Source organism: Homo sapiens, chromosome 17 (genome assembly GCF_000001405.40).
Source record: "Homo sapiens chromosome 17, GRCh38.p14 Primary Assembly".
Lineage (NCBI taxonomy): Eukaryota > Metazoa > Chordata > Mammalia > Primates > Hominidae > Homo > Homo sapiens.
The window spans coordinates 46,456,194-46,474,183 of NC_000017.11; the positions used below are offsets into that span (position 1 = coordinate 46,456,194).

The window sequence follows — 17,990 nt, forward strand, 5'->3', positions numbered from 1 at the left end:
TAGTATTCCATGGGATATGTGTGTGTGTGTGTGTGTGTGTGTGTGTGTGTGTGTATACACATATATGATATATAATAATTATATATAATTTATCGTTATATGTAAAACAAAGCAAATTTTTTATTTTTATAGAGACAGGGTCACAAAGTATTGCCCAGGCTGGTTTCATGCTCCTGGGCTCAAGTGAGCCACCACACCCAGCCAAAAATAAGTAATATTTCCCAGTTAGACATTTTCAGAGTAAAAAGTATTTGTTCAAAATCATAGCATGAATGGACTCTTCCAGAGACCTTTAACTGGCAGCATTTCCCCCTCAAACTTTAGTACAGTTATAGGAATTGTTTCTGGATTTTTGGCTGTATATTCTTGTTCATGGCTCATGGACATTAACATATGTGAATGGCATCACTGTGTTTTTCCTAAAGTGCATACGAAGAAGAAAGAACACTTTCCTTTAGAGTCTTACTTAGATTCTAGTTAGCTGATATAAGACTGTTTTCTTTTCCTTTTCAGGTTGTAAACATGTTAAAGGCATCCTGTTATATGGACCCCCAGGTTGTGGTAAGACTCTCTTGGCTCGACAGATTGGCAAGATGTTGAATGCAAGAGAGCCCAAAGTGGTCAATGGGCCAGAAATCCTTAACAAATATGTGGGAGAATCAGAGGCTAACATTCGCAAACTTTTTGCTGATGCTGAAGAGGAGCAAAGGAGGGTAATGTGAACATAAGTGTGATTTAGTAAAAGTTTATCACTCGCTATACGATGAATGAGACCCAGAGTTATGGAGACAAACTTGTTGCTTTGATTTATATTTTGAAGCAACTTACAGGTAAATTTACCTAGTACCTAGGTTATATATGGCACTGCACCAGGGACTGTGGAAGATTTACGTGATGAGCAGATGTTGTTGCCCACATATTCCTATAAACAAAGGTAGGTGATTGTGTAAGCCAGAGGTTTTGCAAAAATAGGTCATGAATATATTTTCAGGTGACACTTTTATTCCATATTGCTTCCAGAGACTTGTGCTCATTTATCCTTTGGAAGAAAAGGGGAAATTAAATCCATAAATAGACTTATGAAATCGTATTATGTAAGGTTCATATGCAAAAAGCTATCTTACTTAACACTGAGTCTTGCTCAGTTATAGAGTGACAGGATTGAGTTGTCAGAGCTCAAAGGAAAGCTTGATTTGCGTCTCAGAAATGAAATTATTTAAAAATCAAGCTAGAATTTACTAATTCTGATAGTTTTACATGTCAACTTGACTAGGACATAAAGTGCCTAAATATTTGGTAAAACATTTCGGTTGTGTCTGTGAGGATGTTTCTGGATGAAATTAGCGTTTGAGTTGATAGACTGAATAAAGCAGATTGCCCTCCCTAATGTGGGCAGGCCCCATTCAATCAGTTTAAGGCCTGAACAGAACAAAAAGGCTTACTTTCCTGCAAGTAAGAGGGAATTTCGACTTGCCTGGTTGCCCTGAGTTGGGACATTGGTTTGGATGCACACCGAAACATCAGCTCTTCCTGGCTTGGAGGCCTTTGGGCTGGAACTAAATAATGCGTATTAGCTCTCCTGGGTCACCAGGTTGCTGACAGCAGATCTTGGGACTTGTCAGCCTCTGAAATTGTAGATTTATCCCAAGGAATTGGCTAAAACGATTATGGAGGCTGACATATATATGTGGGTGTATATGCATACATACATATTCATAGAGATTTATCATAAGGAAAACACACACACACACACACACACACACACGAACATTCTATTGGTTCTGTTTGTCTGTTCTGATTAATTATCCTAATACTAACATATTTTTTTCATTGACAGTTTAAGAACAATGCCATGAGATTTCTGGTTCTAGCAATACAGTAGACTAGGTAACCAGAAAACCTTCCTTCTATAAACACCTTCAAATGCTAGGTATACACTGTACCCCTTAAATATGCACAGTTATGTGCCAATTAAACACAAAATAAAACTTTTAAAAGTTCTGGGTAAAACATAACTGAAATCATTTTAAATGCATAATTGAGCTCTTCAGAAAGAAAACTGGATCTCCAGGAAATTAGAGTCGTAAGATACGGGCTGCAGCTTTTGGTTTCATAATATATGGGTTTGGGTTTTAGTACCCACTAGGGAACAGAACATGAGTCCTTGAATCCATTTACAGTGTGGACTAGGAACTGGTACCTTCAAAGGGGTTGTGTCTATGAAAAGAGTGGACTAGAAAATATCTGCTGCCACCACAGGGAAATTAACAAAAAATATTTAACTGCCTGGGTTCTGGAATGGAAGCTGGGAAATCTCCTATGGGAATTCTTCTTCTTCTTTTTTTTTTTTTTTTTTTTTTTTTTTGAGATGGAGTTTTGCTCTTGTTGCCCAGGCTGGAGTGCAATGGCGTGATCTCGGCTCACCACAACCTCCGCCTCCCAGGTTCAAGCAATTCTCCTGCCTCAGCCTCCCCAGTAGCTGGGATTACAGGCATGCACCACCACGCCCAGCTAATTTTGTATTTTTACTAGAGATGGAGTTTCTCCATGTTGGTCAGGCTGGTCTCGAGCTCCCAACCTCAGGTGATCTGCCCGCCTTGGCCTCCCAAAGTGCTGAGATTATAGGCGTGACCCACCGTGCCCGGCCTCCCATGGGAATTGTAAACCATGGATCCTTGTTCATGCTGGTTTAGAATTTGAATGAATGTATGCTACCTATGTGGCTTGAAACCCGAAGCTGAGAAATTAGTTAAAAAAATTATTCAGGTGCAGTGGCTCATGCCTGTAGTCTCAGCTACTTGGAAGGCTGAGATGGAAGGGTCACTAGAACCCAGGAGTTCTAGGCTGCAGTGAGCTCTCATTGTGCCATTGCACTCCAACCTGGGTGACAGTGCAAGACCCTATGTTAAGGAAGAAAAAAATTAGTCCTGGGCTAGTGATAGCATAAGTTGTCAGATATAAGCAAACCCCAGGGGGTGCTCCAACAACCTAGGCTGAAAGGAATAGAAAAAGTAGTCATGAAAATTTAAAACTCAGCAACCAAGTTTAAGATAAGACAACAAATTTCAGCTGAAGAGAGAAGTGGTAAACAGAAGAATAAACCTAAAGAAATCACCCAGAATGTAGCACAGAGAGATAAAGGGATGGAGAAGATGAAAGTTGAGATGAGAGAGTTAAAACAAGAAGTCCAGATAGAATAGTGTAGAGGCATTATTCAAAAAGAGAATGACTAAGAATATTCTAGAATTAATAAAGACATAAGTACTCAGATTCAGGTAGCACCATGAGCCTATATGGGATAAATGAAAATTAACTTATTTCTAGACTTGTTATAGGAGAATGCCAAAGAAAAAAAATCTTAGTAACAAAAGAAAGACATGGAGATGACTTACAAAGGGGTATCCATTATGTTGATAGCAAACTTTTCCATGACAGAAAGAGAGAACAAAAAACAGTAGAATAATATCTTCAGAGAGCTAAGTGAAAATAACTGTCAACTTAAAAGTTAATACCCAGCTTAATTCTCATTCAGGAATGAGGGTGAAATAAAGACTTTTTTTCTTCAGGCAAAGGATAATAGAATTAACTAGTTGCAGAAGCTTGTTGGAAGATTATGAAGCAAGATGTACTGAGACTGAAGGAAGTTGAACCCAGAAGGAAACAGTAGAGCCAAGAAACAATGATGAGCAATGAAATTGGTGAAAATATAGATAAAGTCTGGGAGTTCTACTTCTAGTAGTGGCAAATTAGGTCATTTGAGTCATGTGTTCCACTGAAGACTACCAGAAAAGCTCAACACAATATTTAAACATGTTTTGCTTGAAGGTATCAAAGAAGAAAAATGGAGGCCTAGAACAAAGGTCCTCCTGGTATACTGGGTCACTGTTCCTCTCGAGATATTAGCCAGTTCTGCAGGAAGCTGCTAAAACCTAAGCAGCCCTTTTGACAGGCTAGTGGGAGTAATGGGGGCAGAGATTAGTGCCCATGGCCCCTAAGGAGGGGACACCTGATGAACATAACTCATTTTGAGTCAAGACCCTGAAGGGCTACACCATAGGAGCAAGGGTTAACCAGGAGTAGACATACTCTCACTGGGGCTGCAGATCAGCTTTGAATCATGTCAGTCCCTAAAATTAGATTGAGGGTTCCTAAATTGCTAGTGCCCCTAGGCATCTGGCAGAATTGTAAATCCTTCCTGGAAGAAAGTGGTATCATGTAAGGTCACAAATTGTTTCTAGTTTGCAAATGCAATGTCTGGCTTATAATCAAAAGCAACTGGAAACAGATACACAAACAACATCAAGAAAAAGAAAAGATGGTTCAAACAGCCTCTAGATATTGGAATTCTCAGATACAGACTTTTGAAATAATTATACTTACCACATTCAAGGGGATAAAAGACAAGACAGATTTTTGGCAGAGAACTGGAAACTAAAAATAAACAAATATAAATTCTAGAACTGAGAAAATCAGTAAGTAAAATTAACTCAAGTGAATGAGTTTAAATAGCAGGTTAGACACATCTGAAGAGAGAATTAGTGTACTGAAAGATATAAGATGAAAATAACCAGAGACAAAGAATGAAAGGAATTAAGAGAGAGTAAGAGAGAGAGAGAGAGAATACCGTTTAAAGGTCTGGTGCGTGTATTTAAAGTTCCAGAAAGGCAAGAGAAAGAGGATGAATCAAAATCAGGATTTGAAGAGAAAATGGTTTAGAACTTTCTAAAACTGATGGAAAACATTAGTCCATAAATTGCAGAAATGATATGAACCCTGAGCAGGAGAAATACCAAAGAACTCTACATATATAGGCATTATTGTTAAATTGCTGAAAACCAAAAATGAGAAAAATCTTAAAAGGAGCTAGAGAGCAAAGGAAAATTACCTTCAAATAAGCAACAACTAGCTAGTAGCTGTCTTCTCAATAGAAATGATGGAAACAAAAAGTCAATCAAAGGCCATTTTTAAAGAGCTGAAAGAAAATAACTGTCAACTTAGAATTTTATATCCAGTAAATGGATGAATGATCATAGAAATATATAATGGAATACAAGGCAGTAATGAAAATAAATAGCCTACAGCTATATACAGTTGTGAATCTCACAAATAAATTATTGAGCAAAAGAAACCAGATTTCAAAAAGAACACATACTGTGTGATTCCATTTATAGAGAGCTTACCTAAAGTATAGTGTTTAACAACACATGCTTGGGTGGTAAAACTATAAAGGAAAATGAATTATTACCATAAAAATCAGATTGTGGTTACCTATGGGGAAAGGTCAGGGAGGAGTGCTTGGGAGGGGTTGTGAGGAGGTGCTCCCAGGATGCTAGCAGTATTCTGTTTCTTATGATTACGTAGGCGTTCATTTTGTGACAGTTCATTGAGGCATATATTCACATTTTGTAACTTTTCTCTATGTGTGATGTATTTTGCAATTAAAAGTTTTAAAAATAAATTTTAATAGCATTCACTGAGAAAAACAATAATGATATGAATATTTTTAAAGGATAGAACTAAAATATGGAAAAAAACGTTTGGGAAGTAGATTAAATTCATGTAAGCTCCTTATATTATTGGGGAAGATGGTAGGGAGTTTGAGACCAGCCTGGTCAACATGGTGTAACCCCATCTCTACTAAAAAAATACAAAAATTAGTTGGGCTTGGTGGCGCACAGCTGTAATCCCAGCTACTCAGGAGGCTGAGGCAGGAGAATTGCTTGAACCCGGGAGGCGGAGATTGCAGTGAGCCAAGATCGTGCCACTGGATTCCAGCCTGGGTAACAAAAGTGAAACTCCATGTCAAAAAAAAAAAAAGAAGCCAATAATGTTAGTTAACATTAAGTCAAATGTGCATGTGAAAGTTGTACATTGTGCCCAAACTTTTCCAAAGCATAGGGAGGAGCTGGGAAAGAAACAATGGAAACTCAAATACTTTAGAAGGCAAGAAAGAAATAACAAGACTCAAAGACAATGTGATGATAATAAAAAGGTAATTTTAAAAACAATTTCATTTATAGCAGAAATCAGAATGTAAAGTGCCTAGGATTCGATCTAGCAGGAAATGTGCAAGACCTTTAAGGAGAAAATTCTAAACATTTTTGAAAATCTTTTTTTAAGCAGCTAATAAATGGTAAGATATAACATGTTCATGTATGGGAGAACTGACAATGTCATAAAAATGAGTTCTGCCCATCTTGGTCTGTAAGTTGAGTGTATTTCCAGTGAAGCCTAATAGGAATTTTTTAACATTTGACAACTTGATTCTAATTTTTTTTGAGGCTTGAAGAGTTATGAGAATTTTGAAGAATAATGAAGATTTACTTTTATCACATATCAAGACTTACTAGAAAGCAATAGTAATTGAAACAATGTTATATATTCATGTAAAAACAGACCAAGGAAACAATAGAACACAGGAAGGAAGAGCCTGCTCTATGACAAGTGATGATACAGATCAGAGGGGAGTAATAGGCTGGCTGTGCCTTAAACGGAGCTGAGATAATTGACTACCTATTTGGAAAAAGATAAAATGCAATTCCTACCTCACAGCATACAAAATTGCAAATGGATTTACAAAAAAACAAAAACATAAAAGCCTACTAAAATTTATAGGAGGAAAACTTATTTAGAAGAAAAATAGGCAAAAATGTTTTAAGATTTGAGGCTAGGGAAGAATTGATACAGAAAGTAAATCCATTGGAAGTGTTAATTTGGCTACATTAATATAAAGAAAATTCTGTATGACAAATTACACTGAATACAAATGTCTCAAACTGGGAGAAGATATTTGCAGTGTATATAATCTACAAAGAATTGGCATCCTCTATAATAAATTCTCTATAAAAAGTCTTGTATAATAAGAAAAATATAAATACCACAATTTAAAAAAACTGTCGAAGGATTTAACACGTAGTTCTCAGAGAAAGAACACAATTGAAGAAAAGCAAATGAAAAGATATTCAGGAAAATGTATAATAAAAGAGGGATTATTTCTTAAACAACCTGGCAAAATTTACAACAGCTGGTAAAACCAAGAGTTTGTGGGGTTATGGAGAAACAAGGTCTCATATACATTGCTAGTTGGAGTATAAACTAGAAGAATATACCAAGTGGGTAGTATCTTGCAAATAAATTTGACATCTTACAAAAATGAAAATGCACAAACCCCATGAGTTCTACTTCAAGACCACTACCTATGATAAACAACATGACATGTACCAGGATGTTGATTGTCATGCTATTTGTAATAGAGGGAAAAGAAACATCATTACTCTTCCTTAGTAGGAAATGGAATAGCATACAGATATTAAAATGAATATGCTGAGCACAGTGGCCCACGCCTGTAATCCCAGCACTTCAGGATGCCAAGGCAGAGGATCATTTGAGCCCAGGAGTTGAAGACCATCATGGGCAACATAGTGAGACCCCACCTCTACAAAAATTAAAAATTAGCCAGGCATGGTGGCACATTCCTGTGGTCCCAGCCACTTAGGAGGCTGAGGTGGGATGGTCACTTGTGCCGGGGAGGTCAAGGCTGCAGTGAGCTGTGATAGTGCCACTGCACTCCCGCTTGGGCAACAGAATGAGACCCTGTCTCAAAAAAATAAAATGAATAATAGATTTACATAGATCGACATGAATAACACTCAGAAATATAACATCCCGTCTTCAAAAAAAAAAAAAACCTAGTAAGCTGTACTGAATTAATCTATCCTACCATTTAAAATTTTTGTTGAGGGTAAAATAATATTAAATATTCCCTTTATAGCAATCCTCTTAGTGCTTTAAGTCTGCTTGTTGGGTCCTTAATTGTTTCAATTTTATACAAGGTCGTTTCCTTTCCTGCTTTCCAGCATTTCATTAAGTTCTTGTTCAGGTCTCCAGCTAGATCAGTCTCATTGGTTCTAGCAGGTGTGGGTCTTGGTGGGTTGGTGCAAGTCCATTCACTATTTCAACTCTTCAGAAAGTCCCGGAACCAGTCAGTTTTGCAGTTCATTCCTAATACTAAGATTGTTTCTGCTTCACTTATCTTTTTAACTTACCTCAGTGTACCAAGAAAAACAGTCATCACCATATACTATCTAGGTTGAATAAACTCCGCTTAAAAATTATTTTAGATTATTTTCCAAATAATTTACAAAATACAAGAATAAAGAGATAAAAAACTATTAAAAATTAAATAAGAACTTAAATATATAAATAAAATTTTTATGCCATGTTTCCCTGGTCTTGAGGTGTTTTGGATTTTGGTTTTTGGAATATTTGCATATACATTAAGATATCTTGGCGTTGGGACTCTGGTCTAAACATGAAATCCATTTATGTTTTGTATATACCTTGTACACACAGCCTGAAGGTAATCCTGTACAATATTTTAAATAATTTTGTTACTGAAACAAAGTCTGTGTACATTGAACCATCAGAAAGCTAAGGCATCACTATCTCAGCCACTAGATGTGGATGGTCTGTGGTTGGTTGGCATCACCATTGTTTCTGAGTGTAAATTTATATGCCTGATAAATAATCGTTTTCATACATGTATTGAGACACAAGTACTTAACAGTAAAAAATATGACACACCATTAATACAGTGAAAAAATAGTGAGTTTAGGGTAACTAAGCAGCACAATGGCATCACCAGAATACCTGGATAAGCTGTTAAACAACAGCAACACCAAACAGCAACAGTTTCAGTCACCACCTACGATGTTGTGGGGGGCTTTTGTTTTGGTTTGGTTTTTTGAGATGGGGTCTCACTCCATCGCCTAGGCTGGCATGCAGTGGCACCATCATGGCTCACCGCAGCCTCAAACTCCTGGGCTCAAGCCGTCCTCCTACCTCAGCCTCCCGAGTAGCTGGGACTACAGGTGTGCACCACCATACCTGGCTAATTTTAAAAATCTTTTTGTAGAGACAAGGTCTCCCTAGGTTGCCCAGGCTGGTCTCAAACTCCTGGGCTCAAGCGATCCTCCTGCCTGAGCCTCCCAAAGTGCTGAAATGACAGGTGTGAGCTACCATGCCCAGCTGATGTTGTGTTTTGATTAAAAGATTATCATACAGTAACCCCCTGTGTGTGGTGCACCTTTCAGATTTTGGAACATTTTGGATTTTGAATTTTTGGATTAGGGATACTCAACCTGTATACCCCAAATGGGCAGGAGCCTCTGAATGCAGTAACTGTTCATCAGCTGTCCTGCATGAACTTACAAATACTGATTCTAAGTTTCAAATACATCTTTGTTGGCTTCTAAATTATTATTACTTCTGGTTCTTCTTGCACTTACAGCATCAAAACATAATGCTTTAAGAATTTTTTTGAGATCTTTGGCTCCTAATTTTGTTGAAGAGAGGATGACCATTATATGTTCCACAGTTGCAAAACATTTTTATTTTTAGATTTGTAGATACCTTTCAGAATGATCAATTCTGTTTTTTATGGTCAATCCAATTTTTTAATGTCTACTTCATCTATTTCTTCTGGCTATCTCTCTGTAATACCTGCCTTCAGCATCTGTCTACTTTTAAACTATATCAAGAAAATTTGGTGCACAAATGAAATAAAAGATGAAAGAATACTGTCATGTGTCCTTTTAGCAAAATGGGATGGCCTCATTTCTTGTCACAAGATATTCCACAAAGAAGACTTTCTATTGAATAAGTAACTGAATGAAAATGCTTTGTCCTTAGATTAAAAGTATATTATTCACTCATTGATTCTTGAGTTTGAGAAAATGTATGTAGGGCATCATCATCTGAAGACACATAGACTGAGATTTTACTTATAATCATCAATTTCAGCATCTTTATTAGAGTCCTAAGTGCTCCTATCTTATTCTTTGTGTTCAACTTCTGACTCATCTAATAATTCTAAAACAGTTTCCTCAGATTTTCTTCGTCATTCTGGCTAGAGAACTTACAAATGTTAATGCTTAATCGTATTCAATAAAATGTAGAATGAGGTCACAAAAGATGTTAGCTCCAGACTTCTTTTATGCCTTCTTGAAAGATAACACATATCTTGCACAACACAGTAAGAAAACTGAAGAGTGATGTCATAGTGATACTTGTTTCACTGTTTCTAAGTAATTTAGTCATTTTTTATTATACTTTAAGTTCTGGGATACATGTGCAGAACTTGCAGGTTTGTTACATAGGTATACACATGCCATGGTGACTGGCTGCACCCATCAACCCGTCATCTACATTAGGTATTTCTCCTAATGCTATCCCTCCCCTAGCCCCCCCACCCACTGACAGGCCCCAGTGTATGATGTTCCCCTCCCTGTGACCATGTGTTCTCATTGTTCATTTCCCACTTATGAGTGAGAACATGTGGTGTTTGGTTTTCTGGTCCTGTGTTGGTTTGCTGAGAATGATGGTTTCCAGCTTCATCCATGTCCCTGCCAAGGACATGAACTCATCTGTTTTTATGGCTGCATGGTATTCCATGTGCCACGTTTTCTTTATCTAGTCTATCGTTGATGGGCATTTGGGTTGGTTCCAAGTCTTTGCTATTGTGAACAGTGCCTCAATAAACATGTGTGCATGTGTCTTTATAGTAGAATGATTGTAATGGGATTGCTGGGTCAAATGGTATTTCTGGTTCTGGATCCTTCAGGAATCACCACACTGTTGAAACAGCATGGTACTGGTACCAAAACAGATATATAGACCAAAGGAACAGAACAGAGGCCTCAGAAATAATGCCACACATCTACAACTATCTGATCTTTGACAAACCTGACAAAAACAAGCAATGGGGAAAGGATTCCCTATTTAATAAATGGTGTTGGGAAAACTGGCTAGCCATATGCAGAAAATTATACAAAAATTAACTCAAGATGGTTTAAAGATTTAAATGTAAGACCTAAAACCGTAAAAATCCTAAAAAAAACCGTAGGCAATACCTTTCAGGACATAGGCATGGGCAAAGACTTCATTCTTCTATTTTCTTATTTTAATCCTTTTTAAGCATAGTTGAGAATAATTGATGAGTAATGATGTAATTTCTAGTGTGATGAAATAGCATAATGTGTCTTAGATTCATAAAAAGATCTAGTAGATCCAAATGGCAATTGTAAGATAGAATTTTATTCTATTTTTTTAAATATTGGGTTTTTTGTTTTGTTTGTTTGCTCTTTGGAAAAAGGAAAAAAGTCATGAGATATCAATTTTTATAAATAGTACTACTTAAAACAGAAACTCAGAAACTGAGATTGGGTCTAACGGACCCTAATGAGATACTGAGGATTAAACACTAGGCAGAAGTGAGTTAAAATGCCATATGGAGAAGCATTTTATAACATCTCAGTTGTGATAGTTACCACATGGCTACATAGGTAACTTTGGTGCTGTTTTTAAAGTTGCAAGCAATTTAAATATTAAACTACTGATGATAAAATTGAGTTAGCAAAGAATTTCCAGTTCGATATTAATTATAGCCAGCCTTTTCAGTTATACCTTTCTCACATCCAGAAATGGCTTGATGTACTCAGCTAATGACCTCATGCAGGATATATATGTGTGTTACATGATAAAGAAAAACATCACTTCTGTAATTTTGGACAGTCCACACTGACGGAGATGAACACTTGCATATAGGTCAAACTAGTTAAATACAGAACAGCCGCTTTTGAAAGCTGTTGCCAGGGCTCAACAGCGTCAGCTCTGTTTCTATGGAGAAAGACTTTGCAGATGTTAAAAACAGAGCTAGAAGCCAATGAATGGAAGAGGATTGTGCTGTGGAAATTTAATTTTTTTGATAAAGGGTTTATTGATGAATCAGCTATATTAGTCTGTGAACGTTAATCTTGACATCTTCTTTACCCAATTCCCAATTTCTTGGAATAAGATCTTGCTTTTATTTAAGTAACACACAATGTAAAATTTGATGTTATTGTACTGACTAGGTGGGGTAAGGGACCTGATGACAGGTAACAAGATTAGTAAGGTTCTGAAAAGGTCAGAATTGTACTGAATTATGTTTAGAACAGATTGCCTCCATGATCATTTAATCAAACAGTGTTCGTATTGTCTTTGTCCTTGTCCACATACGTGATTTTTGAGGTTGGGCTGAGAAGGAAATCATGATTCCATCAACAACATAAGGCACATTGACAGTAAAACTCATATATTATAGCAGCTTTTTGTTTCATGCTGTATAGGGCAGACAACCTTGAAGAAAAAAAAAACTTTAAAAAATAATGTAAAATTTCACAGTTTTTCAGTCACAAACAGAAGTATCCTTGTTGTCACTGAAGATGACAAGAATTAATATCCTGCTGTATAGAAGTACTTTGGCAAAGTTAAGGTTGTAGTTCCAATTCCTCATTTCCAATTTTTTCTCCAGATGGAAAGATGAACAGTTTTTGGTATTGAATTTTTTTTTAGGAAGCAAGTTATTTATCATTAGATATCTATTCAGTAAATGCAATGATACAGAAAAATGAAGTTTTTTTCCCTCAGATTTGAAATTAGGTTTTAAAATATGGAGGGAGAACAATTTGTAAGTAATGTTCAGGAACAAAAATAAAACCTAATGAAACTTTAGAAACTTTGATGGACATCTGTCATCCTACATACAATTGCATTAAAGAATAGAATTTATTATTATTTTATCTGGTTTATTATGCTGTAAAATGAATTTTTCTCTTTTTGTATGTAGTTTTATGAAATTTCATACATGTATAGATTCATGGAACCACTGTAAAAATCAGGATGTAGAACATTTGCATCACCCCCAAAAACTCCTTCATGCAGTCCCTTACTGGTCACCCTTTCTTTTTAGTAACCCTGGTAACTACCAATGTGTTCTCCATCCCTGTAGTTTTATCTTTTCAAGAATGTCATATAAATGGCGTCATACACTATGTAACCTTTGGGGACTGGCTGTCTTCAGCATAATGCCTTTGAGATTCATCCAAGTTGTTGCATGTGTCAAACATCCCTTTTTATTGTTGAATAGTATTTAATTGTGTGGGTGTACTATCATTTGTTTATCTCTTGACCCACTGAAGGCCAATTGGGTTGTTTTCTAGTTTGGGGCAATTATGAGCAGAGCTGCTATAAACCAAGTAGTGGAATTTTTAGGTCATATAGCATTTTATCTATTTTTTATTTAAAAATATATATTCAGGGTTTGTTTTTGACCCAGTTGAATTTCCTTCAGGTCATTTTTGGAACTCTTTCTTCCTATGTCTGATGTAACATTTCATCTTTCATCTTTGTCATTTTTTTATTCCCCCTTTTCTTCAGATTACTATAGGTATATTCTGGTATTGTAGCCCAGAATCTGTCCTGCTTTTATATTCCTCCAGCTTAATTATATGATCCATCTTCTTACGGTATCTACGGCTTGCTACAAGACTATTCTTTACTATTTGCAGAAGACGTTCAGATGTATCTTGCTATCCTTTTTTATTCAGTTGTGTATATCTTGTTCTCTATTTGGAGGCCTTTCCAAATAGATGTCTTGTTAACTCTTTAATCTTATCATGCTAGAAACAAACAAACAAAAAAAATTCCCTTGTATCTTTTCCCTTCTGCAGCTTCCTTATCATACTACAGGGTAATTTCTTTTCTTCACTGTCAGTCTTCCACCCTACATGCAAGCAATAATCAAATCTAGCATTTGCTGTTTGGTCATCACCACTCCTGTCACCAAAATTCTCATTCTGTTTAGATTCTGCTTGCCTCATTTATGTACCATTATTTGTTTCTCACTGACCTTCCAAGTGCATACTTCTTTTCATCCTAAAGCCAAGAATAAAATCATTTTATATAAAGAGCATTCTACTTTGCAGTTCATTTACTGATGTCCTCTGTTTCAGTAGGAAGGCCTAATTCTAGATTTCAGTCTGTCATGATAGTACTATAACTTCTGCTTCTCACATTAGGTAAATTTTATTATCCCTTTTATAGGACCTTGACTGCCTCTGGGCCTTCTGTTCAGTTGAACCCACATGCTTCTAACTTCTTAGCTATTAGACCCTCTCTTTCCCCTTTTATATGTCTTTGTTTTGGTACAGCTTCTCATACCCAAAAGCAGGTATACCTGTTAGTAAGGAGGATACAAGTTGTATTTGTAGGTGGTATGATTGTCTACCTAGGAAATTCAAAAGAGTCAGATTTTTTTAAAAACTTAGATATTATAAATAAGAGTAAAGTAGCCATATATAAAATAAATACATAAAAATATATTTCCTTCATACTTCTATACTGTTTCTGAAATATAATAGAAAAATCCCATCACAATTGCCACCAAAAAACATAGCTAGGAATCTTTATGAAGGAATGAAGGAATTTAAACAACAAAAACTATAAAACTTTATTGGGAAGCTGGGCCCAATGGCTCATGCCTGTAATCCTAGCACTTTGGGAAGCCAAGGTGGGAGGATCACTTAAGTCTAGGAGTTGAAGACCAGCCTGGGCAACATAGTGAGACCTTATCTCTAAAAATAAAAATAAAAATAAATTTTAAAACTTTACTGAGAGACGTAAAAGTGTTGAATAATTGGAGAGGCATTATTCTTCTAAAAAACCAAATATGCTATACAGATTTTAGTATTTCCTAAACTTAGATATTTAACCTAATTTCAGTCAGAGCTTGGGTTTTTGTCTGTTCTTTATTTTTTTATTTTTAATTGGTGGAGGTTATTCCCCCTCATAAGAATGATTCTGATGTTCATTTGGAAATACACATGGTTGGAAATAGCCAAGATAGTTATGAAAAAGAAGAATGTATAGAGGAGAAGAGCTTCTTCAATGTACTACTGTAAAGTTATGGAGATAAAAACATGAATGAATCCATTGAGCAGAGTAGACAGGCTGGTAATAACCTAGCATACATCAAAGTCCAAACCTTGGTATGATGGCAGCTCAGTCAACGAAGAAAGGAGGGATAATTTAGGGAACAATGCTGGGTCGGTTATTTGAAGAAGAATTAGTTGGCTTCTCACTTTACTTGTACCATACACAAAAATAAAACACCAGATAAAGAATTATATGTAAAGCAAAAATTTAAGAAAAGAAAATATGTGACCATCAGTGTCTGTAATGGGGAACAATTTTAAGGATAAAACTAATGAAAATACCATAAAAATAAAAATTGTGCTGGCTGTTTAGTAGAAACAGAAAACGCCTTCCACTTACCGAAAATATACCATAAATAGGCTGGGCACAGTGGCTCTCGCCTGTAATCTCAGCACTTTGGGAGGCCGAGGTGGGCAAATACCTGAGGTCTGGAGTTTGAGACCAGCCTGGCCAACGTGGTGAAACCCTGTCTCTACTAAAAATACAAAATTAGCCAGACTTGATGGTGCACGTCTGTAATCCCAGATGTGAGAGGCTGAGGCACGAGAATCGCTTGAACCTGGGAGGCGGAGGTTGCATGAGCAGAGATCATACCACTGCACTCCAGCCTGAACGACAGAGCGAAAGTCCATCTCAAAAAAATATATATACTTATATATATGCACACATGCCATAAAGAAAAGACAACTGGCAAACTAGAATAAAGTAGTTACAAGTATAATAATGGCCCTAATGTATAAATCATTTTTTAATCAATAGGAAAAGCTCTTGAATTTCAACAGAAAAGGGTATAGAAGACATATCAAATACTAATAAAATTACCAATGGTAAAAACATGATTTTTTAACAGCACCAGCCCCTTCAGTAATTAGATAAATGTGATTTAAAAACAACAGAAAGATACTATTGTCCATCTATCAAATTGAGAATTACTTTTAAAGTGTTTCTAATATTCATTACTTGTGGGAATATACCAAGATAGGCACTATCAGGTACTGTGCTGGGATTATAGATTGATAAAACCTTTCTGGAAAAGTGTTTCTACTTTTTCAAGTGTTCCTATTTCAAGGGCCTTAAAATACTTAACACACCTTTTAACCTAACAATTTGCCTTTAGCAAGTATTCATCTATATTGTCAAGCGTTTAAGTATAAAAATGTTCATTGTAGGCTGGGTACAGTGGCTCACATTTGTAATCGCAGCACTTTGGGAGGTTGAGGCAGGAGGATCACTTGAGTCCTGGAGTTCAAGACCAGCCTGAGCAACATGGCAAAACCCCATCTCTACAAAAAAAAATAAAATATTTTCCAGGCGTGGTAGCACGCATCTGTAGTCCCAGCCACTCGGGAGGCTGAGGTGGGGGATTGCTTGAGCCCAGGAGTTTGAGGCTGCAGTGAGCTTTGATCGCACCACTGCACTCCAGCCTGGGCAACAGAGTGAGATCCTGTCTCTACAAAGAATGAAAAAAGAAAATGTTTATTGCAGCAACATATATAATACTAAAAACTTAGAAATAATTAAATATCTAACAGTAAGGAATGAATATGGAGTAGGAGAGTTAAACTGTGAAACCATTCATATGATTAAATATTATAGAGCTATTAAAAATCATATCATCGGCCAGGCGCGGTGGCTCACTCCTGTAATCCCAGCACTTTGGGAGGGCAAGGCAGGCGGATCACAAGGTCAGGAGATCGAGACCATCCTGGCTAACACGGTGAAACCCATCTCTACTAAAAAAAAAATACAAAAAAAAAATTAGCCGGGCATGGTGGTGGGCGCCTGTAGTCCCAGCTACTCGGGAGTCTGAGGCAGGAGAATGGCGTGAACCCGGGAGGCGGAGCTTGCAGTGAGCCAAGATCACGCCACTGCACTCCAGCCTGGGCAACAGAGTGAGACTCCGTCTCAAAAAAAAAATATATATATATATATATATTGTATAGGGATGGGAAAGGGTTTAAAATAATACCTGTACTGAAAAACAGGATGCAAGGTATTACATAGCTCCATTTTGGCTGAGTTTGAGATGATTGTGATTTCTTTATTTTTTGCTATTTTCCCACATTTTTTATAATTATATATTTTGCAATTGGAAGCAAAAATAACCATTGAAAATCGTTTTCAAAGAATAATATTCAAGAGAATACAAGGTGCAGTAAGTTCTTAATATTTAGTTAAAATATAGAAATCTGTGGACCATTAACAGCACTTATCTTTAGGTAATGTAATGATGTTTTATAGATGGGTCTTTATTGATGGGATGTCACTATGTTGCCCAGGCTGGTCTTGAACTCCTGGCCTGAAGCAGTCTTCCCACCTCTGCTTTCCAAGTAGCTGGGATTACAGGCACAAGCCATGGCAAATGTAGTATATTTTAATTTATGTTTTTAGTGATGGAATCTCACTGTGTTGCCCAGGCTGGACTCCAGCTCCTGGGCTCAAGGATTCCTCCAGCCTCAGCCTCCAGAGTAGCTGGGACTATAGGCACGTACCACTCTGCCCAGCTTTATTTTTACACTTTATTTGTTTTACAACTTTTGCTCTGTTAACAAATCTACTACTCCTTTAAAAAGTTAAAAAACATTCTCTTATTAAAACAAAGATTAGGCTGGGCATGGTGGCTCACGCCTGTAATCCCAGCACTTTGGGAGGCTGCGCTGAGTGAATCACCTGAGGTCAGGAGTTCGAGACCAGCCTGGCAAACATGGTGAAACCCCGTCTCTACTAAAAATACAAAAATTAGCCAGGAGTGGTAGCACATGCCTACAATCCCAGCTACTCAGGAAGCTGAGACAGGAGAATCACTTGAACCCGGGAGGCAGAGGTTGCAGTGAGCTAAGATTGCGTCATTGCACTCCAGCCTGGGCAGCAGAGCAAGACTTCATCTCAAACAAACAAACAAAACAACGATTATATCCTTATCAGAGATTTAATGGATACTAACCATATTTAATCCTCAGTCTCATTATGCTCATTTAATTTTTATTATCCGTATGTTGTCATATTTAGGTTATGTTCATTTTTTACCAGTTTTGTTAATCCCTAGTGTTTTTTGTTTTTGAGACGGAGTCTCACTCTGTCGCCCAGGCTGGAGTGCAGTGGTGCAGTCTCGGCTCACTGCAACCTCTGCCTCCTGGGTTCAGGTGATTTTCCTGCCTCAGCCTCCAGAGTAGCTG

General features: G+C 36.9%; 1 protein-coding gene across 2 annotated transcripts in view; it reads left to right on the plus strand.

The window, feature by feature from the left end:
* Positions 1 to 17,990, plus strand: part of LRRC37A2 (leucine rich repeat containing 37 member A2) — a 676,337-nt gene that overhangs the window by 83,402 nt on the left and 574,945 nt on the right. For both annotated transcript variants that reach the window (XR_007065300.1, XM_047436147.1), the window contains exon 9: positions 514 to 713. Coding sequence is in view for 1 of the 2 variants with exons in the window: in XM_047436147.1 (XP_047292103.1) it covers positions 514 to 713 (200 nt within the window). In the remaining variant the exon portion in view is untranslated. The remainder of the gene's footprint in view (positions 1 to 513; positions 714 to 17,990) is intronic.